The 24,541-nt window shown below is 37.5% G+C and overlaps 1 protein-coding gene and 1 pseudogene across 4 annotated transcripts in view; both read right to left on the bottom strand.

Annotated features, from left to right (window-relative positions):
- Positions 1-24,541, bottom strand: part of GAREM1 (GRB2 associated regulator of MAPK1 subtype 1) — a 207,361-nt gene that overhangs the window by 140,415 nt on the left and 42,405 nt on the right. Inside the window, exon 1 of one of the 4 annotated variants that reach the window (XM_024451234.2) lies at positions 16,879-16,955. The exons of the other annotated variants lie outside the window; for them this stretch is intronic. The gene's annotated coding sequence lies outside the window, so the exon portion shown is untranslated. Of the gene's footprint in view, positions 1-16,878; positions 16,956-24,541 lie in introns of those variants that run through there. 4 annotated transcript variants of the gene reach the window in all.
- HNRNPA1P7 (heterogeneous nuclear ribonucleoprotein A1 pseudogene 7) lies at positions 7,565-9,301 on the bottom strand (annotated as a pseudogene).

A 24,541-nucleotide genomic window follows, 5' to 3' on the forward strand; every position in this document is an offset into this window, starting at 1 on the left:
TTTAAAACTGGTCTATACATTCACCAACTTTGAGAAACATGGTTGTAGGGGATAAGGAACAAAGGTATGCAGGACCATAACATGCTGTTAGTCTTTATTTAGAATATTTCTCCCTGGACATTGAATCTTATTTTTTTTATGCTGATTGTAAGTATTTCAGCTTTGTCCAAATTGTCATTACCTTCATTACAGTTGAATGTATCTGAATCATTGCATAACTATAGTGCCTTTATGAATTAAAGCACCCTTGTGAATTACTTAGGATGGTTGTGAATCAATGTAAGTAGTTATGTAACATCTGTCACAGCAAAACCCAAATCTCTATTAAATGCTTTTTTATTTTTAAACATGAAGATGAAATACATTTGGATGACTAAATATAATATGTTGATAATCAACTTGTTAGCTTAACTACTGATGAGTTTTCTCTTAAGGTTGGGATGAATCCAGAGAACAAAACAGACACACGCTCATGTTGGGTTTTTGGGTTTGTTTCTTTCCATTCTTATGTTGCACAAAAAAAAAAACCCTGGTTGACAGAACAAAGAAAAGGCAAGTATATATGTGATTTTAGTTAATTCTATAAGTTGTGTGCTAGTATATTAAGGTGTTTTCTTTTCACATTTGTGTTTCTTTATACTCAGAGTATTGTATTTCACATTAGAGTAACTAGCTTGGTCAACCATCTGAAGCTGTATCCCTGCAGAAGGCATGCATGTTTAATCCTTTCAACTCCGAAATACCTAACTTTGCAAATATATAATCTTATATGACAGATTTATTTTTCTTTTTAAAGAATGTTTTTATTCCTCATTAGCCTGGTTTTTTCTCAGCACTGTGGTAAAGCCTTGTCTATAGTGGACATTTAAATAGTTATTGACTGACTAACATGGCCCCACTGAAATAATTTGATTTCTTAGTACATATATAATAAGAATCAGATTGGCTGAACTTGATATTGTTTTTATCTGTCACGGACATAAACTGTTCTTATGTCATAGCTAAATCTATTAAACAATGAATAATTTAATAAGTTCTAAGATTTCTGTGTTGGCACTTAATATAAATTTAAGAGGTGTGCATTATTTTACCAATATCAAAAGGAAAGCTGTTCAAGTGATAATACTGTACTTATTCTTCCTCTTTTAATAAATAGTGTGGCATAATTTTAATTATGTTTACTTGTCCTTTTCATGTAGAAAGGAAACTTACTGAGTCAGTTAAATACCCAAACCACTGTACTTCTCTTACAATTTTTTTTTTCTTTTTTTTGTCTTTTTGAGACAGAATCTCGCTCTATCACCCAGGCTCAAGTGCAGTGGTGCGATCTTGGCTCATTGCAACCTCCGCCTCCCGGGTTCAAGTGATTCGCCTGCCTCAGCCTCCAGAGTAGCTGGGATTACAGGCGTGCACCACCATGCTGGCTAATTTTTGTATTTTTAGTAGAGACAGGGTTTTTTCACGTTGGCCAGGCTGGTCTCAAACTCCTGACCTCAACTGATCCACACACCTTGGCCTCCCAATGTGCTGGGATTACAGGCTTGGGCCACCGAGCCCGGCCTTCTCTTACAATTTAAACTTTTTTCAAAATACCTTCACTGGAAGGGACTGACTATCAAATAAGTGTCCTCTTCCTTCCAGGTGCACAGTAGACCACAATCCCTAACTGTCCTTGCAGTTAAGTGTGCCATGTCATTGAGTTCTAGCCAATGATGTATGAACAGAAATGACATTTCCTACTTCCTGTCCTGGCCTTACCCATGAAAGCTGCTCACAAGCTATCCTCTGTGCTCTTTTCTCGACCAATGGCTAAATATTGACTCTCAGGAATACCTTGGAACAAAGTGAAGATAGCACAGCTGCCAGCAGGCTGGGTTCCTCAATTCAAACATATTCGAACAAATCACCTACCTATGCCTGGACCACACACTGAGTTGTTATGTAAGAAATACCATTCTACTGTGATACTATGCCTGTGATGTGTTGTAGTTTTCTTTTTTTGTTACAGTAGTTAGCCTACCCAAACTAAAACATCTGTATACATAACCCTCAACACCAGCGGTCTTCTAATAATCACAAAAGTTTTATTACACAGGCTGTTCCTTCTAACTATTCTTCATACACACAAACTTACCCTTCACCTTGCAAAGGTAGCTTAGGCTAAAAAACTCCATTCCTTATTCTTTTAGTTACATTTGATTCTATAAACTGAGGGATATAATTAAACACTATTTAATTAGCATCTTCAAACATTATTTTTTATTTTTCTTTTTTGTAGAGACGGGGTTTCACCATGTTGCCCAGGCTGGTCTCAAACTCCTGGACTCAAGCAATCCACCCACCTCAACCTCCCAAAGTGCTTGGATTACAGCGTGAGCCACCGCGCCCAGCCTAGCATCCTCAAACATTTAAAATAAATGATGTCCTAGTTGTTTTACTGTCTTGTAAACAAACAAGAACTGTTTATTGTGAGAATACAACATGACATTCTGGTAGTATTTCTCTGTCCCGATGGACTATAATCAAATGACATGATGAGTAAAGAAACGGTGTGTGGTGGGGGGAAAGAGGTGAAATCATAGAAAACTGCTACAAAACAATGAAAGAACAATCATGAAATCAAAAAATGAAAATGTTGTCTGCGAAAAGGAAGCAAAGTGTTCCAAACAGAAAGTCAAAAAAGTGAGAAGAACTCTGAAAGAAATAACTAATTGGCAACTAACTTTTAAGAGGGAGAAATGATAAAGTGATCAGGAAGGATGTGGTTACAGGAAATCACTGAAGTACAGGTAATAATTGAAGTCAATGGAAACTGAAGAAACCAAAATTTCTTCAGTGGGAAAAGAAAGCTCTAGGAATAGGAGAAGAAACTGCTTTTAGCCCAATGGTTGAGGTATTATAAGAAAGTATAAGACTGAAGAGGAAGGAACAGACACTGGTATCAATCAAATAAAACTATCTGAAGTCACCTGATGATAAAAGCTTCCTGCAAAGCATAGTATGGATTTGCAGAAAAGACAGTTTCTGGCACAGATAACAGGAATGTAAAAGAAAATCAGTGTCCTAAATCTGAGCAGGCACAATGAATAATTTTATTACTATGCTAAAAGTCACCTCTAACATTCAGCTATCCCAAATGATCCTCCAACACTATGCAAGTGCCTACGTTTCTACTCTCATTCACTTCAACAATCCGCCCATTACTGGGTGCTGTCATTTTGTGGATCCTAAGACACATGTTGTGGTACAGAGAAAGGGCTCTGGAAAAACAACCACAATAGAGAACAACAGTGTCACTTGAGCTTAGTTGCTGTCCTGTTCTAATCACATGTAAAAATGAGAACATAGTTGCCTGTCTCAGGGCCAATGGTCCCTGTGTATGAAAAGGATCTGCAGCCTTAAGGAAGATGGTGACAGTGGTTCTGAGTGGAGGTTGCAGTGAGCCAAGATCGCACCATTGCACTCCAGCCTGGGCAACAAGAGTGAAACTCTGTCTCAAAAACAAACAAACAAAAAACAAAAACAAATAGATTCCTTAGGATTTTCTGTATACAAATTCATGTCATCTCTGAAAAGACATAGTCTTACTTCTCCTTTTCCAAACTGGATGCCATGTTTTTTCTTCTACTTGCCTAATAGCCCTAGCTAGAATCTCCAGTACAATGCTGAACATAAGTGGCAACCAAGATCTAGCTTTAAAGAGTATGTGCCCTTCTCTTCCCTCTTTATTCTTTCTGATTGAGGGAATGTAGATGACATTACTAGAGTGGCAGCAACCATCTGAGACCCTGAAGGGAAGTTAGGACTGGAATTGAGGCCAAGAAATAGCAACAACTGAGAAAAAACCTGGGTCCCTGCCATCCTGGGCAACATAACCTCAGATCTCCTAGCTAGACTTCACTTTGGGTCTCTGTGACTTGAGTCCAAGCTGAAATTGACGCACAGGAGCATTTAAATAAAATTTAAATATTGCAATGCCTGCATGACTCAATCAAAATATATGAACTACTTTCAACACACAAAACTAGAGTTTTGTCTTTTTTTTTTAAAAAAAAACTAACTCTACTAAAGGTGTCAATCTAAGGAAGTACTGTCTAAGCCTGGTAGCCTGGCTCTAGATTGTAAATTTTGAAAAAGGTTTGGTATGTAATTTTTTCCAACTTCAAAATAATTCCATTGGGTTTACAGTATTTATCAATATTATGCTTCTAATATATTCTTTCAAGCTTCCTAACTAATTTCTGATTGTAGAGGCTGTATTACTTTTGCTAACTCTAGATTACTTCCGAAAGCCAAGATTACCCTAAAATCACTAAAAATATTGTCACACCTTTAATAAAAAAACTCCTTACTTGTGTCTATTTACAAAAAAGAGGTATTTGTTAACTCACAATTTGAATGGTTAAATTCGTATATATTATATGCTTTGATTCTAAGTTATTGATAAAACTAAGTCAGGAGCATAAGTCTAAATGGGGTGATATCAAGTATCCCTAATGCAGAGAAAAACAATGAGTGCCTTTATATTAATGGCAAAAAAATTGTGAGGAATACAGATGAAACATCTGTCCTAGAATTTACCATCAGCAGGAGAACCTAATGTCAGCATTAATACCTGACTGATATCAAATAGTGAGTACAACAGAAAGGGAAAGCCACTGCACAGACTGTGGCTTCTGTATCCATTTGACCATTGTTAAGACTAAATACCCAGTAACCAACTCTCAATCCCTCCTCTTGTACCTCAGGCCTTAAACATGCAGCACAGAAATTCTAGTGCAACCCATGATTAGGAGCTCCCTGTTTTCTGAAAATGTCCAAAAATTTAAAGGAAAGCAACTTAACTTTTGGGAGTAGAATCTATATGCCAATCAAATCAGAAAGGTTTTTTCCTTTGTATCCCTCAAAATATTTTTGTTCCTGGAAAACATTCTGATTAAGTTAAGCTATGTATCTGCTGTCATATAATGCTAACTAATCTAAAAGTGACTTCTAATTCCTATATTGACTAGCAGTGTAAAATGTTTAGAAAAGTAATGAGAGAATAAGTGCTAAAGATGCACTTAAGTCTCCATAGTGCCTATCTTTCTTTGGAGCGTACACCACGAAACAAGCAGAAACCCTCATCTCCCCAGTTAACCCATCAGCTCTTTTGGCTCAATATCATCTCTTTTTCTGCTGTTTGCAGTCCACAAGACCACTAGGCAACAGAGCAGGTGGGTAAAAACTGCTTTCTGCATGAACTATCTTAGGTATAAATTGGTGTATGTTCAAGTAAGTCTAAATATAAATTAAGCACTCAGATTTTAAACATTTAAGCCCCTCAAAGAAAGCAGAGTATATAAGAAAAAGAACTTCTTTTCAAGTATTTTCTATTGATCTCTTCCTACCTTAAACATCAACAAAGCTATATTAAAATCCTATTTTTGGGTGAGTACTTTATTCAAAGGCCCAGAGACTATAACCTTGAACTCCAAGCAAGTGAAATAATTTTGTTTCTACATTTTATAGTTTACTGTGAAATCCCAGCAAGAAAAGAAGAAAATCGAGATTAATCTAGACAAAGCAATATGTGGTAATGAAGTCAAAGAACTTCATGGTGAAATCTAAGCAAAAAGGAATGCATGAAACAAAAGAGAAAAAAGATTAGGGATATATTATTACCTCTTTTCAAATGAACCCTTGGACAAAAGACTCCTTTCTGAACAGTAGAATGACCAGGAATTACATATAATAGACTCCTGCTGTATGAAACAGAAGTATGCCTACTTAATTCAAATCTGAAATTTTACACCCTGAAATACTGCACGGTAACTAATATTTAAAAGATAAGATTTCTACGCCAAGCAACTTTCAGAAAAACAGATAAGCAACTGTAGTACCAGTATTTCTGCAAACATTAATAATATACTAAATCTCCAACAAAAGGCCTGACATATACCATGGAATATTTCAGGCAGGCAGGTGAGAGAGGGGACTCAGATTTACATAAAAAATTCTTTGAAAATCCATTAAACTACAATATAGAGACATTCCTCTCAATAAGTCTGATACATCCAGTTTATCCTCCACTGTTGGACAGGTCGTAAGATGATGCATTTGGTTTGTGCAATGTGTGTATTTTATAACACTGTGTGAAGAGATGCTCACACCATAAAAGGCACACAAAAGACAGAGAAAGTAAAAGAATCACATAAGCAGACAGGTGTCATCTCAAGCTCTACTAGACATCAGATGCCAAATGACCAGGCATGTTTCTAAGATCCCAACCTCTCCATCCCCAACTCTCTGCTTCCAGTAACTTAAATGTATTTATTATTCCACCTGGTAGGTGAGACACAGTGTGCCTTCTCTCAGAAATAGCCTGGGATTGGATTTACAGCCAGATTTAGTTGAAATTGTGGTTTACTTATATTTATTTATATATTTTTAGAGACAGTCTCACTCTGTTGCCCAGCCTGGAGTGCATTGGCATGATCATAGCTCAATGCAGCCATGAACTCCTGGGCTCAATGATTCTCCTGCCTTAGCCTTCCAAATTGCTGGTACTACAGGTATGCACCGCCACACTGGATAATGTTTTTTATTTTTTGTAGAGACAGGATCTCTCCCTATGTTGCCCAGGCTGGTTTTAAACTCCTGGTCTCAAGAGATCCTCCCATCTTGGCCTCCCAAAGCATGGTTCTATTATTAATTAACTATATGATTATGGGCAAATAACTTCTTGAGCCTCAGTGTTCTCACATTTAAAATAATAGTATTAATAATTACATAAGGAAGTTGAGATGCTTTTATGAGAACAAATATAAAGGACTCAATATAGTACTGTATAGATAGAAGTCTCTCAACAAATACGACTTCGGTTTTTTGTTCTGTTTTGTTTTGAGACAAAGTCTCACTCCATCACCTAGGCTGGAGTGCAGTGGAGCAATCTCGGCTCACTGCAACCTCCGTCTCCCGGGTTCAAGCGATTCTCGTGCTTCAGCTTCCCAAGTAGATGGGATTACAGGTGAGTGCCACCACGCCCAGCTAATTTTTGTATTTTTAGTCAAAATGGGGTTTCACAACATTGGCCAGGCTGGTCTCGAACTCCTGACCTCAAGTGATCTGCCCACCTCAGCCTCCCAAAGTGCTGGGATTACAGGCATGAGCCACCGTGCCTGGTGACTTCGGTTTTATTTTCTTCTTCAATCAGTTCCCTTTACCTTATTAGGCTGGCTCAGGTAAATAATTCAGCTTCTGTGTCTAATAAGAAAATGCACTAAGGTGCAATGACTTGAACTTTTATGTTTCAATTCAACTAACAAAATTAAGGAGTGATTTTCATCAGGGTGTTAATGTCACATAAAACCCAACAATTTTATTTCAAGAGGATAAACTGAGCCACAAGTCAAACGTTAGGGATTTTCAGTGTCAGTTTCAAATCTGACATAGCTTCCTTTGAACTTTATTATGTGATAAATAAAACAAACATAAAATACAAAAGAATCAAATTATAAAATATACTTCATTGTACCAGAAGTTATATCAAATATATATTCTTCAGAAAAATATTTCTTTTTTTTTTCATTCAAGAGAATTAAATTGTTTATTGATTACACATGATAATGGATGATACACAAGCTTCATTCCCATCTATAATTTTATCTGGTACCATTATTCAATTTAGATATATTGCATAGGATGTGCCAACAATCACTTTTATAACCATTCCATGACTTTGTTTGGGTAATCCCTTTTAATGGTGAACTTCAGGTCACAACAGTAACTATCAGTTCAACTACACCAAGGTTTCCGAAGACAATGGCTTCTCCACCCAAGCAGGTTGTATATAAATTCCAAATAGAACCTGGCATCACCCTGAAGGAATTCTAACTTCACACTGTTGGGGAAATTTACCAAGATGGCTTCAGAGTAGACTAACTTTACACAGCACATTAAAAAAAAAAAGACATTTATTCAGCGTCACGATCAGACTATTACATTTAGCAATCAACAGCATGGGTGCAAAAAAAAAAAATCTACATTAAAACGCTTTGTTGGAATGCTTTACACTTTCCACAGAACAGAAACTAAAATAACCTGTTATACAATTAGTCACAAACACAGTCCTCGAGTTTTTTGCCCATACACATGAGTATTTGTCTAAAACATGTCTTCTTTGTAGCAGCTAGGCCCTGCCACCACTGTGCTTGGCTGAGTTCACAAATCTGTTGTAACCTGTGGCTTCCCTGTCACTTCTCTGGCTCTCCTCTCCTGCTAAGCTTTGTTTCCTAATTAAAATCTTCTGCCACTGACACAGCTACTGCTGCTGCTGGAACCGCCATAGCCACCTTGGTTTCGTGGTTTTGCAAAGTACTGGCCTCCACCGCCATAGGGGCCAGAGTTTCTGCCTCCAAAATTTCCTCCCTTCATGGGTCCAAAATTTGAAGACTGATTGTTGTAATTGCCAAAATCATTGTAGCTTCCACCACCTCCAAAATTGCTTCCATCATTACCAAATCCATTAGAGCCATCCCCACTGCCACCATATCTACCACCAGCACGGCTGCCACCAAAGCCACCACGACCACTGAAGTTTCCTCCATGACCGAAGTTGTCATTCCCACCGAAACCACCTCCACGACCACCACCAAAGTTTCCAGAACCACTTCGACCTCTTTGGCTGGATGAAGCACTAGCCATCTCTTGCTTTGACAGGGCTTTTCTAACTTCACAGTTGTGGCCATTCACAGTATGGTATTTCTGAATGACAATCTTATCCACGGAGTCATGGTCGTCAAAGGTTACAAAGGCAAAGCCCCTTTTCTTGCCACTGCCTCGGTCAGTCATGATTTCAATCACTTCAATTTTTCCATACTGTTCAAAATAATCTCTTAGGTGATGTTCTTCAGTGTCTTCTTTAATGCCACCAACAAATATCTTTTTCACAGTTAAGTGGGCACCTGGTCTTTGAGAATCTTCTCTGGAGACAGCTCTCTTTGGTTCCACAACTCTTCCATCCACCTTGTGTGGCCTTGCATTCATAGCTGCATCCACCTCCTCCACAGTGGCATATGTGACAAACCCAAAGCCCCTGGAGCGCTTGGTGTTTGGATCTCTCATTACCACACAGTCCGTGAGCGTTCCCCATTGCTCAAAATGGCTCCTCAGGCTCTCATCAGTTGTTTCAAAGCTCAACCCTCCAATGAAGAGCTTCCTCAGCTGTTCGGGCTCTTTAGGAGACTCTGACTTAGACATGACGGCAGGGTGAAGAGAGACTTTAACGATGCTTCTTCGGCGGCGTCCACGGGCAGAAAGGCCAGAAAAATATTTCAACTACATATTTGACAGTTTGGGGGAGTCACTCACATTAAGTAGATTTCCAAAAATACCGCTTAGCCTTAAAAACAAAACCACATAAAACTTGAAAGAAACAAAGACTCATACAAATGTCAATGCTGAAAACCTAATGATGTTTCCATTATCAATATATAAAACCACTGAATTTTAATATTCTCTGTACACATAACAGAGGGTTAATAAGAAAAATGAAGATTATTTTATTTTGCCAGGTGGGTTGCCCTGAAGACAGTGGCTAGGTGACATTCTACATCTATGACTTCAAAATACACACAATAAAAAAGTTCAACATGAAAGGACACTATATCAAAATAATGGAAATAAGCAAACACTAAAAAACCAGATCATTAAGTTTTATAGATAGGTCTATAAAGATATAATAGGCCTAAAAGAAGTAAAAAAGTGTCTCTGTTAAGTAGGGTGCAACTTCTTAAAATTGAACTGGAAAACAAAACAGCTATCATTTCTTTTTAAAACTCTAAAGATAATGAGGAAAAAAAACCCACCAAAACAAACCCCAGGAGTTTACAGATATTGACTGAAAGATATCATCAATTAAATTGGTACTGTGGTTAGTTACACTCCCAAGCAATTATATTGCTTATGAATAAATTACTAGTATAATTTTCTGGGGCAAAATGTAACAAAAGAAAATCACTTTGACACTTAGTCATACTTACATAGGAATATTTCCTAAACTTGTCATCTGAGACATGGAATATTTATCTGGCTTGAGGGGAGGCAAGCTATAGCCATGAGAGTTCACAAGTGTATTGTACACACATATACTTTTTTTAAATGAAAAATCTATTTTAATGACTGAAAGTATACAAAAAATTATAGATAAAAGGTCGCTATTTGCAAAGTTTAAATTACATTAAATTGGAATAACATTTTAAGGTTTTCACAGACAATGACAAAATAAGGGATCAGTACAGCTTGGCTCAATAAATGTAAGGACTCTCCTTCACCAAGATCCATCAGCAAATCACTGTGTCAACTTGATCCAGTGACTATTTTCTAAACTTTCTCAGACAGACAGATAGATGAGTATACAGACCGAAGAAAGAGAGACAGTTGGAATATCATTAAGCATATATAAACATATGAGTTATTTTTTTCAGACAAGGGCAATCTAATTGAAGAAGTTTACCTGAAGTATGTGGTTACATAAAAAAAAAGGTTAGGTCACAAAACAAGTCTTAAAACATGCAAAAAAACTGAAATAATATCAAGCACCTTCTTCTGACCACAACTGAATAAACCTACAAATCAATAACAAGAAAAATTTTGGAAACCATATAAACACATGGAAATGAAACAACATGCTCCTGAGTGACCAATGGGTCAATGAAGAAATTAAGAAGAAAATGTAAAAATGTATTGAAACAAACGACAATGGAAACACAACATACTAAAACCTACGGGATACAGCAAAAGCAGTGTTAAAAGGGAAGTTAATAGCTATAAATGCCTATATCAAAAAGGAAAAAAACCTTCAAATAACCCAGTGATGCATCTTAAAGAACTAGAAAAGCATGGGCAAACAAAACCCAAAATTAGTATAAGAAATAAAAATCAGAGCAGAAATAAATGAATTTGAAATATAGAACACAATACAAAATACCAATTAAACGAAAAGTTGGCTTTTTGAAAAGATAAACAAAACTGACAAACCTTTAGCAGACTAAGAAAAAAAGGGAGAAGACTCAAATAAATAAAATTTGAAATAAAAAAAGGAGATATTACAACTGATACCACAGAAATTCAAAGGATCATTAGTGGCTACTATGAGCAACTTATATGCCAATAAATTGGAAAATCCAGAATAAATGGATATATTCCCAGACATATACAATCTACCAAGAGTGAATTAAGAAGAAATCAAAACAAGAACAGACTAATAACAAGTAACGAGATCAAAGCCATAATAAAAGTCTTCTAGTAAATAAAAGCCCTGGACCTGATGGCTTCACTGTTGAATTCTAACAAGCATTTAAAGAAAAACTAATACCAATCATACTCAAACTGTTCTGAAAAAAAATAGAGGAAGAGGGAATACTTCCAAACTCATTCTACAAGGTCAGTGTTACCCTGATACCCAAACCAGACAAAGGCACATCAAAACAAACAAACAAACAAACAAACAAAAACAGGCCATTATCTCTGATGAATATTGATGCAGAAAATCTTCAACAAAATACTAGCAAACTAAATTCAACAATATACTGAGAAGCTCATTCATCATAACCAAGGGGGATTTATCCCAGGGATGCAAGCACAGTTCAACACACGGAAATCAATCAATGTGACACATCATATCAACAGAATGAAGGACAAAAACCATATGGTCATTTTACTGATGCTGAAAAATCATTTGATAAAGCTCAACATACCTTTATGATAAAAAAACCTCAAAAAACTGGGTATAGAAGGAACATACCTCAACATCATAAAGCCATATATGACAGACCCACAGCTAGTAACCTACTGAATGGGGGAAAACTGAAAGCCTTTCCTCTAAAATCTGGAACACAACAAGTAAGTCCATTGTCACCACTGTTATTCAACATAGTACTGGAAGTCCTAACTAGAACAAGCACACAAGAGAAGGAAATAAAGAGCATCCAAATTGGAAAGGAAAAAGTCAAATGGTCCTTTTGCAGATGATATATGATTTTATATCTGGAAAAAACTAAAGGCTCCACCAAAAAATTATTAGAACTGATAAACAAATTTGGTAAAGTTCCAGGATACAAAATCAACATACAAAAATCAATGGCATTTCTATATGCCAACAGTGAACAATCTGAAAAATAAATCAAAAAAGCGATCACTTACAATAGCCACAAATAAAATTAAATACCTAGAAATTAACTTAACCAAAGAAGTAAAAGATCTCTACAATGAAAACTATAAAACACTGAGGAAAGAAATGAAGAGGACACAAAAAAATAAAAGATATTCCCTGTTCATGGATTGAAAGAATCAATGTTGTTAAAATGCCCATATTACTCAAAGCAATCTGCAGATTCAACACAATCCCTACCAAAATACCAATGTCATTCTTCACAGAAACAGAAAAACAATCCTAAAATTTATATGGAACCACAAAAGACCCAGAATAATCAAAGCTATCCTGAGCAAAAGAACAAACTGGAGGCATCACACTAACTGACTTCAAATTATATTAATACTACAGAGCTACAGTAACCAAAACAGCATGGTACTGGCATAACAACAGACACATAGACAAATGGAACAGGACAGAGAACCCAGAATCAAATCCACACACCTACAATGAACTCATTTTTGACAAAGGTTCCAAGAAAATACACTGGGGGAAACACAGTCTCTTCAATAAACAGTGCTGGGAAAACTAGACATTCATACGCAGAAGAATGAAACTAGACCCTTATCTCTTGCCATATACAAAATTCAAATCAGAATGGATTAAAGATTGAAATCTAAGACCTCAATCTATGAAACTACTAAAAGAAAACACTGGGGAAAGTCTCCAGGACACTGGACTGTAGATTTCTTGAGTGATACCCCACAAGCACCGGCAACCAAAGCAAAAATGGACAAATGGGGTCACATAAAGTAAGAAGGCTTTTTGCACAGCAAAGAAAAGAATCAATGAAGTGAAGACAACCCACAGAATGGGAGAAAATATTTGCAAACTCCTCATCTGACAAGGGATTCATAACCAGAATGCATAAGGGGCTCAAACAACTCTATAGGAAAAAAATCTAGTAATCCAATTTAAAAATGGGCAAAATATTTGAATGGACATTTCTCAGAAGAAGATATACAAATGGCAAACAGATATATGAAAAAGTGCTCAACATCACTGATCATCAGAGAAATGCAAATCAAAACTACAATGAAATATCATTTCACCCCAGTTAAAATGGCTTTTATCCAAGTCAGGCAGTAACAAATGCCGGCAAGGGCATGGAAAAAAGGGAACCCTCATACACTGTTGGTAGTAACGTAAATTAGTACAACCACTTTGGAGAACAGTTTGGAGGTTCCTCAAAAAACTAAAAATAGAGCTAACATATGATCCAGCAATCCCACTGCTGGGTACAGATAGAAAGGAAAGGAAATCAGTATAACAAGGAGGTATTTACACGCCCATGTTTCCTGCAGCTCTGTTCATCACAGCCAAGATGCGGAAGCAACCTAAGCATCCATCAGCAGATGAATGGATAAAGAAAATGTGGAACTTATAGACAATGGAGTACTATTCAGCCATAAAAAAGAATGAGATCCTGTCATCTACAAGAACATGGGTGGAACTGGAGGTCATTATGTTAAGTGAAATAAGCCAGGCACAGAAAGACAGACATTGTATGTTCTCACTTATCTGTGGGATCTAAAAATCAAAACAACTGAATTCATGAAGACAGCACATAGAAGCATGGTTACAAGAGGTTGGGAAAGGTAGTGGGGGTGGGAGGAAGGTGGGGATGGTTAATGGACACACACAAAAAAAGTAAAAAAGAATAAGACCTAGTATTTATAGAACAACAGGGGGACTATAGTCAATAATATTAATAATTTAATTGTACATTTAAAAATAACTAAAAGTATAATTGGATTATTTGTAACACAAAGGAGAAACACTTGAGGAGATACCCAATTTTCCATGTGATTATTATACACTGCATGCCTGTACCAAAATATCTCATGTAGCCTATAAACATATACACCTACTATGTACGCACAAAATTAAAAAAATGAATATGGAAAACTTTCTACCCCATTCCAATTCTCCACCAACATAATAAAATGAGAGAAAATATTTTCTTCCATCTCATATTTTTCAATATTTCCATTTCAATATTTTCTAGATGCAAGAGGAAAGTAGATAAAGTGTCTAAAAACACCAAGGAGACTAAAATAGAATAATCACATACATATAATAGAGCAACCCGTGTTCTTTTCCCCCTTGTGAGATAGTCAAAATTAGCGACTTTCTTCTTGCTATGCTTACAGAGTTCCGTGATGAGTCTCAGATGTCCATGGTGTCAAAGTCCATGAGCCAAAGTCAACGGCTCCTGGTTGCTGTGTACTGTAAACACCCTCTACTCATCCCACACACCTCTCTGTTCTAGGGCTCAATTCCACCTTGTTATGGAATAGCCACATACTGTTCTTTTGCTTGTTTGCTACATATGAAATGGGAATAACAGACCCACTCCAAAGGATAACGTGAGCATGACATAAAATCACCAAGAATTAACTCAGTAAAGTAAAAGGGAAAGAAACCTGTATCCTCAAATCACTTTAAGCATGATGATATTTAACAAGTAACCTCTCAACTGAGAGGCTAAGGCCTTTCCTACCTGCCCCAGAGGTTGAAATCCATACCAAGTATCATAATACAATAGAACCAATAAGATCGAACTGGGGGTTTCAAAAAGAGACAAGGGGAAAGAAACGAGTAGGGTTCTCTTTCATTTAACGCAACAGTGGCTCTTAAGGCCACAGATGGAAAACATATTGTAAGCTTGAGAGATGCTAACACTGCAAGACTCAAGACCAATAATCAGCGTAAGTAGACAGAAATGAAGAGAAGGATAACGTGTTAGTTTTGTAATGCTGTGTAACAAGTTACCACAAACTTAGCAGCTTAAATATAGTCAGACGTCTAGCACTCCAAGGCTGGGCTCTCCACTCAGGCTGAAATCAAGGCGTCAGCTGGCTGCATTCTCATCTGGAATTCAGGGTCCTCTTCTAAGCTCATTCTTGTTGGAAGAATTCAGTTGCAGTTGTTAAGACTGAAGTCCCTGTCCTTTTGCTGGGTATTCACTGGAAACTGCTCTTGATTCCTATTCTCAGGTCCTTGCCCAGTGGCCCCATCCCCTTCTCAGCACCAGAAAACCTGTCTCATGCTAAATCCCTCTCAGGCTTCAAATATCTCTGACTTTCTCTTCTGTGACCAACTAGGGAAATCTCTTCCATTCAAAGGGCTTGCCTGATTAGGTCGGGCCACCAAGATAGTCTCCCTCCATGGATAATAAGCTGAATGCTTGTTTTCTCCCAAAGTGCATGTTGAAATCCTGACTTCCAGGGTGATGGTATAAGGAAGTGGGGCATCTGGGAAGTAAGTAGAGGGTAGAGCCCTCATGGGTAAGATTAGTGAAGGGACCCCAGGCACCTCTCTCATTCTCTTCCTGCCACGTGAGGATTCAAGGAGGTTGGCAGCCTCCAATCTGCAAGAGGGCCCTCACCAGAACCTGACCATACTGGCACTGTGATCCTGGAATGCCAGCCTCCAGAACTGTGAGAAATAAATTTCTGTTGTTTATAAGCCACCTGGTCTATGGCACTTTGTTACAGCAGCCTGAACTAAGACACTAGTTCAACCAATTAGGGACCCTAAAAATTACATCTGTAAAATTTAAATCCCCCTTTGCCATACACATAATCTGGCATAACACCAGGGGATGAGTACAAGGGAGCCATTTCAGAATTCTGCCTATCACACATGCTAATACAGGAAGGAAGCTCGTTATTTCAGTACAGAGTAGATACAGAATTAAAGAGAATGATGGGTCAAGTGTTGTGTTTATACAGTACCTTTCAAAAAGACTTTATGGGTAAAAAGCAACCGAAACCCATTTATACTTTGAGATATTATGATACGAAAGCAGTTGTCACCTCGCCTAAGGTGAGTGGAAGAGCCACGTAACAGTATAGCCTGCTTCATTTACAGTGCCACTAGGCCAAAAGAACACACTCCACAGGCTCTGGAGATAAACAGAATCTTAAACTCAGATAAATTTAATTGAGAAATGAATGCAGCCAAAACCTATTAGTCTTTAAGAATAAAGTTTGAAATAATTTTCAACAATTTCACTTGGCTTTTTAAAGTTAACTGAGCATAATTATCATAGCTTTAAATAGTTTCAAAATTATTACTCTATCTGTCATGCTGAGGTCTTGAGACTTCCTTTCTTTGCTCCTTTGACTGTACTTTTCAACCCTAGACAGGAAGGGGAAAGAAGAAAGGGAAGTCTTTTTGTTTTTTTGCCAAAATGACTATATTAGGGACCAGAAAATATTTAAAAATAGGAAAAAAAAAAACCCTGCTGGCCACTGATATTGAGGGAAATGGGCACTATGATTTAAACTCCTACACATCTCTACCTCCCGGGATGCATCTAATGGTTTCAACTGCTGCTGGGCACTGACTCCCCCACTTTATGGATTCACTATTCCTGACCCTGAATTGCCACCCTGGGGCACTCATCCATCCCAATGACCACCACTGGGAAACCATATACCCATGGGAAGTTTGTAAAAAACGTTTCCATTTAATTTGCAAAGAACAGAATCCCGGCTGACGCAGTGGCTCATGCCTGTATTCCAATGTTTTAGGAGGCCAAGGCAGGCGGACAGCTTGAGTCCAGGAGTTTGAGACCAGCCTGGGCAACACAGTGAGACCCCCTTCTCTTCAAAAATGAAAAAAAAAAAAAAATAGAATCCCAAAGCTGGATGCAAGAGAGCCACATAGTACTTAACTGCATTGGTTTCATAAACATGAACGTTCTCTGCCGTGGCTCTGTCTTCATTACAGAGAATCCAACAATCTTGCGGCACCTCAGACTGTTCTCACTTATGCAGCAGCTGGAGTTCCTTCCTCAGTATCTGCGCTGCATCTACCTATTTAGAGTAACATTTATAAATATACCCAGGGAGATTCAGAAAGGACATAAACTCAAGTCCCATTCAGAGTCCTTTGGATGGAGGGCAATTATGAAAGGGCCAATGAAACTATATTAAGCTTCACTAATCCTGATAGCTGTTGTATAATATTTAAAGTTATACATAATTGTCAAGCACAGGCCCAGTAAGTTACTTAACCCACTTCCCTCATCAGTAAAATGCAGATACTAATAATAATAGTGTCTACTTTGTAAGGTTGTAGGCTGGATTAAATGTGTGTGTAAATGCAAAGCACTTGGACCAGGCACTTGGTACACAGTAAGCACTCAACAAAGCTTGGCTAAAATGATTGTCATTGTTCTAACTCATTGTCCCTCAGGTCCATTCTCTTCTGCACATCCCCTTTGTTCTAGGCTTAATACAGGCTCCCAGCAGCTCCCAGCTGATTACATTCTAACATCCATCTAAACTGGTTCCCATTCTGGTGCTATGAGAACCTTCCTAATGCCAATCTGCTCACATCATTCCCCTGCTTTGAAACCTTCAATGGCTCTTCACTACTCTAAGAAAAAAGTCCAAACGCCGTGGGGTGCAGCATGAAACCCTTTAGGACCCAGCCACAGCAGTAACACTGGTAACGTATATCAGAAGGCAGAATCAAAAAAAGGTGCACAGATAAAGACAGCTCCAGGGTCTATCTCAGGCCTCCATGTTTTTTTTCTCACGCTTATTCTGTTGCCTAGAAAGCCCTTCCCCCATATTACCCAAGCTAGAAATTGGAGAGTCTCCTCTGTCATATTTGCAAGAGATCTGTTTTTCCTTCCCTTCTTAACAGTCTCTTTAATGCCTAGGATACTCCCAAATCCACACAAAACCTTCCCAAGCTAGACACAAGTTACCTTTCCAGCACATCATCCTCTTCCAGCAGGTGATATAAACAAACTACCTGAGGTTCTCAGAACTATAAACCTTAAAGCTTCTGCCCCTCTGTACACACTTCCCTCTGCCTAAAATTATCCTTTCTCCTACTTTTTTTTTTATACTTTAAGTTTTAAGTTTTAGGGTACATGTGCACAACATGCAGGTTTGTTACATATGTATACATGTGCCATGTTGGTGTGCTGCACCCATTAACTCTTCATTTAACATTAGGTATATCTCCTAATGCTATCCCTCCCCCCTTCCCCAACCCCACAACAGGCCCTGGTGTGTGATGTTCCCCTTCCTGTGTCGCTGTGTTCTCATTGTTCAATTCTCGCCTATGAGTGAGAACATGCGGTGTTTGGTTTTTTGTCCTTGCCATAGTTTGCTGAGAATGATGGTTTCCAGTTTTTCTCTGACTTCTAACTCCCATTCCCAGTGAAGCCTTTGCTGGCATGCCTCCCATCTTCCATTCAACAGATGGAACTGATTCTTTCCTTTCACTCCCTTGGCCCTGGTACACCTCTTCCCCAGGTTTCTTTTAACTGCAGTGACATTTCGTATTTGTAGGTCTGCCTTCCACACTAGGCTGAGAGCTCAAGGTCTTAGCAACTCCAGTACTTAATAATGATGCTCAATGTATGTTTCCTGGATTAAGTTTCCTGTGTAACTGGCATTATGCTGTCATTTTCCATTCTCCAAATTCAGGATGAGAGCTTTACTAAGGAACACTATTTATTACAGAATAGAATTTTTTGGAAGAAAGGTTTTCTTTATCATTAAAAAGGGATTTTATTACTACACTATCCAAAACTTGAAGCCTAAAAATTCCTGGCTTAGACAATTAGAAACAACATATGTAAAAATTTGGTCTAATCATATGAGGTTGGAGTTTTTTAAAGCAACAACTTTGAGTGGAACAAGAACAAATTTGGAATCACAGAATTTTAGAACTAGAAGTCTGCTTGGAGAAACTAAAGGTCAAGTGCTTTCCTTTTATAATTGAGGAAATATGTACAAGGTTCCTGATCAGTCAGTGGCGACAGCAAGACTAGAACTCGGCCTCCTGCTTCTTGGTCTCAAACATTATACCATCTGAGAGGGAAAACTAAATCGCCTATTCTATAAAATAAATGAGATACTCAAATTTCATATGAGCACATAAACATTGACCTAAATTGTGTATCTCAATGTAGTATCAAAGCAAACCCAGCCCAGGGGAACACAGTGAAGCAACAGAGAGAAGGGCTGGCTTTTAAGTCTATGGGCAGAGTAAGAATTCCAGTGGGACACTAGCTGTGTGCTCCTGATTAAACTGCTTGCAGGCAGTTTTCTCATCTGCGATGTGAGAACAGTACTTCTTTCAGAAACTGTTATGAGGATTAAATGAGAACATCAGTGAGAGCATTCTGCAAATCATAAATGTTACACAAGTGCCAGATATTAATAAAATATGAAATAGGTATTAGTTTACACTATGTTTTAGTTTACACTGAAAAATACATTCACATGTGAATGTGAAAACTAGTCACTACTTCATTATTCTGTTTATCCTTATATCTTTCTCTTGTTTTGATGTTGGCCTTTGCTCTGTGCAAGAGAATTATACCAGCTCCAAGGTAAGAAAAAGAAAGGGAAATTAGGTCTTATTTGATTATGCAATAATTCAGGTTTTTCTTAGACTCTGTTGTCAGTGACAATAGAAAGAGCTCTTTAAAATCATCACAAGTATATTACCACCTCACAACTGTGTAACACAGGCAGCTGCTTATGTATTCCAACAGACTACAGGTCTCATACAAGCTTAACGTCAGTGAGGCGCAGAATCTTTAAGTTGCAAGGAGCATTAAGGATCATCTAAATCTTACATTCCCTTAAATGACAAATTATAGTATTTTGTACTTCAACACACAAGTTAATTATTTCATATGTTAGACCTGACTATAGAGTATAGATGTCTATTAAGAAATGGAGCTGGGCATGGTGGCTCACACCTGTAATCCTAGCACTTTGGGAGGCTGAAGTGGGAGGATCACTTGAGCCCAAGAGTCTGAGACATGCCAGGGCAACATAAAGAGACCCTGTCTCTACAAAAAAAATTCAAAAATTAGCTGGATGTGGTGGTACATGCCTGTAGTCCCAGCTCCTCAAGAGGCTGGGGTGAGAGGATCACTTGAGCCCAGGAGATAGAGGCTGCAGTGAACTGAGATCATGCTGCTGCGATCCAGCCCAGAGAACATAGTGAGACCCCCATCTCCCCACCAGCCAGAAAAAAAAAAAAGCAAGTGTCTCACAGGAGTACTTCCATATGCTAAAATCTATGATGAATTAAATTCAACATAAATGCTAAGCCTGTGACACTGAAGTATAAATAGAAGTATTATAAAAATTTTTGACAGTTATTTCTCCATTGGACATTAAATCTCACAGATCTTTTTTATACTTGTGCAAACACGGTTACATAAATATATGATCCCACAGTATAATTTCAACTTGGGATTCCATTTTTAGAAAGGAAACCATAGTTACTTATGATGATAAAGTAAGATAAGATATTAGGATAAGATAAAAGTCAAAGGCAAGTGAAAGGAAAGAATCATGACTATATTCCCGGTTGCAAATCAGTATTGCATGTGTTTTGGTTAACGTAAATCAATTTACCAGGGTCTGATACATTTCAAACCAACAAGGCAAAAAACCAAACAACAAAAAAAACTGGATTCTGAAATAGCATTAACTATATCAAGATACTGTATATATTTGGAACCAGATGAGATCATTTTCTCTCAGCATACATATTCACATGTATTAAATAAAAATTTAAAAATAAAGCTTTAAGCATGGCTTTATATTGCTATCAACATATATATAAATAGAACTTGTAAACATCAGATGTTTTACTCACTTTCCTTTGTGAAACATCCTTATAACATTCTCTTAATTCAGCATGTTGTCAAATAGTACTTATTAAGCACTATTCTCAGTAAATGAAACAGAACAGTCCCTTGTTCTGTGTTGTAATTTGGCACAGACAACATCCACAGAGGCCAGCCCTCCAAAGGGTATATCAAACCGTTCTAAAGAAAGATTACAACAGTAAGGCCCAAGAAAAAGGCACTTAAAATTCTGTACCAGTCCCAATTTAGTGTTTGTGATTGAGTAAAGGGTCAACCAAATGATCACTTGGCTCCTCCCCTCCACTATTTTTACCTCAATGCGTTGGGCATATGTTAATTTGTTATTACTCACTTAACTATTCCACTATAAAAGTGCTTAGTATTTTCTATATACTTAGCTTTTAAACCCTATTAACTCAGCAGCTCCCACTTTAAAAATATATATTTTTTCCACATTAATGATAGGAAATACAGTTAACCAATTTACTAAACCATCACTGTGGCACAAAATTTTATTTGGAGCCATTTCCCATTAACTACTGTGAAGATTTCTTTAAGAAAGGTCCTACCATTTTTAAGTAAAAATTGTTATCTTTTGAGGTAAACAGTGATTCCAAGTATTTTCATAAACATTGTGGGAAAAGATTTTCCTCCATAGTCTGCTAATTGATCAGTTCCTGGAAAGTCTCTTAGTGGCCACAAGAATTTGTTTTGTGCTCTGTACTACCTTATAACTTAGAAGAGAGAAACAGGGGGTGGAGACACAAAAGAGAGAGTAATGTGCATAGAAGAACCAAGAAATAAAGAATAGTGCGAGATAAAAATGCTAATTTTGAGGCTGAGTGCTAATATTGTGTCCAAGACTCTAAGTCAACAAATGTTCAGTGAAGGCTTGTACCCTACCTCCTAAGAACACAGCCAAACAAAGATATGTTGAACAGTAAGCATGACTCATATGGATTTCTCTTTTGCAAGAAATACTTCTTTTCATCTAATCTAAGTAGCTCTTGAACTGTTTCTCTTTCTTCAGTTCTTTGTGAGAAAGAAAACAGTTGTTCAGCCTTCTTTTCTTGACAATTTTTTGCATATTCAGACAGTTAAGTGGTCTCTTAAACTTTTCTTCAAATTAAAGATTCACAACTCCTTTACCCTTTCCTCATTTATGGGCCTTATTTTTTATAAGCCTTTGACTATTTCTACTACTCTTCTCTGAATTTTCTCCAGTTTTAATTCTTTTTGTTTGTTTGATTGTTTGTTTTTGAGACGGAATCTTGATCTGTCGCCCAGGCTGGAGTGCAGTGGTGTGATCTCAGCTCACTGCAACCTCTGCCTCCCAGGTTCGAGCAATTCTCCCGCCTCAGCCTCCCGAGTAGCTGGGATTACAAGCACACGCCACCACGCCCAGCTAGTTTTTGGTATTTTTAGTAGAGATGGGGTTTCACCGTGTTAGCCCAGGATAGTCTCGGTCTCCTGACCTCGTGATCCACCCGCCTCAGCCTCCCAAAGTGCTGGGATTACTGGCTTGAGTCACCATGCCCGGCCTCTTTCTTTAATTCTAGAGTCTGAAAGAGAAAATAGGATGTTTGACTAATGGCCTGGCCAACAGGCAAAGCATGATTATTTTCCTGTTCTTAAAAATTATATTCTTTTACTGACATTAAAATAGGAATCCCAGGATCTAAGGTAAAAGACACACATGACAGAAATTCTGGCTTCAACTTATGCCTCACTCTATTATATACAGGTCTGTTCTTTCAGTTTCCATTTTCTACTTCATGTATTTGAATTGTACATCTCCAAGTACATCTCTAAATGTATCACTACCATTTTCTTTTTCTATAGAAATTCCTCTTCCACCTCTACTTAAGTGTTTTCACAATTCAATCAACTCCACCAATTTAATATGACTTGACTGGCTAATGAGCTTGTCAACCTTTGTAACCTTCAGGAAGGTTACAAAATTTATCAAACTTGCAAATATAAGTTTTTCAACCATTTTTATTCATAAGCTTGTCAAACTGTTTTAACAATTTTCCTCCAGGTGGCTGCTCTATATCTTAAAGATCACTGCATTTTTAATGGCATTATATTTTTTAAAAAGATGATTTCCTTTTCCTCTTACATAATCTACCATCATTTTTAGAACTCTCCATATAATACACTTTCCCTCCATATATAGTCATATATTTTCATGCACTTTTACTTAAATTGCATAGGAGCCCTTTCTTTCCCTTTATTCATGCTATTGTGTGTTGGAAGTTTTTTGAGACCTAATAAATTTTAATCCATTCTATTCCTAAATTTGTTTTACTCTCGTTGTCCCAACTTCCCATGGTAGTTTCTGGGAGCTCCAACTTTTGAGAGCCATATACATTTGCACTGCAAATCAATAAAAGAGATATCAAATGAACTAAGATAGGGACTTTTCACTGGGGAAGTTATATTGCAAAGAAAACACCTACGTCATTAAGTGGCTCAGTAGCTACCATTTACTGAGCAGCAATTCTTTTCCAGGAAACATATTAAGTGTTTAACAGTCAACAGGTATGTAAATTATTCTTCCCAAATTTATAGATAAGAAAAACTTAAGTTCAAAGAGGTGAAGTAACCAGCCCCAAATCATTCTGTTAATAAATGACAGAGCTGGAGAGAGAACCAGGAATGTCTGCCTCCCTGAGTTTGACATGGAAATTGAGAGTTCAATCTTGAAATGATTGCAATGGTGATGTTTGAGGGAGCTGAGGTCTGGTGCAGTATCACCACTATCAGAAGCATCGACAGAAAAGCTGATGGCAGCAACATGCTTATCACCCACAAATGCTCATTAAAATTTTTCCTCCAAGGGACTGTATCATTATATTCTGTCACATCATAAAAATCAAAATCAGACACGTGAAGATAAGTGATACTCTGGGTTTAAATTAAGCATCTAACCTTGGAGAGAAAAACTGGCATTAAGCTCAGACAACTAAAATGACTCATGAATATTTCCAATTTTCCTTCTAACCATAAAAAATGTGACCTTTCAAAAAATGCCACATCATTTGTGGGTATATTAAAGCTGTATTTTCTAAATCTGAAAATTAAAATTTCTTAGGTCTCAAAAAACTTCCAACACACAATAGCATGAATAAAGGGAAAAAAAGGGGTCCTATGAAATTTAAGTAAAAGTGCATGAAAAAATATGACTATATATGGAGGGAAAGTATATTATATGGAGAGTTCTAAAAATGGTGGTAGATTATGTAAGAGGAAAAGGAAATCATCTTTTTAAAAAATATAATGCCATTAAAAATGCAGTGATCTTTAAGATGTGGAGCAGCCAGCCACCTGGAGGAAAATTGTTAAAACAGTTTGACAAGCTTATGAATAAAAATGGTCGAAAAACTTGTATTTGCAAGTTTGATAAATTTTGTAACCTTCCTGAAGGCCACATACCATTAGAGGCTTTAATTCTTATAAGCTAGAAACTTAAACATGGTATTGTAAGAGACAACTTTTGGGAGTTCTGTCTAGTTTACCCTTTAACCATTGATAGGGTTTGGATCTGTGTCCTTGCCCCAGTCTCACATTGAATTGTGATCCCCAGTGTTGGAGGTGGGGCCTGGTGGGAGGTGACTGGATGATGGGGGTGGTTTCTCATGAATGGTTTGGCATCACCCCCTGTGGTTGGAACAGTGAGTGAGTTCTCGTGAGATCTG

The sequence above is a fragment of the Homo sapiens genome, chromosome 18 (genome assembly GCF_000001405.40).
Source record: "Homo sapiens chromosome 18, GRCh38.p14 Primary Assembly".
NCBI classification, from domain to species: domain Eukaryota; kingdom Metazoa; phylum Chordata; class Mammalia; order Primates; family Hominidae; genus Homo; species Homo sapiens.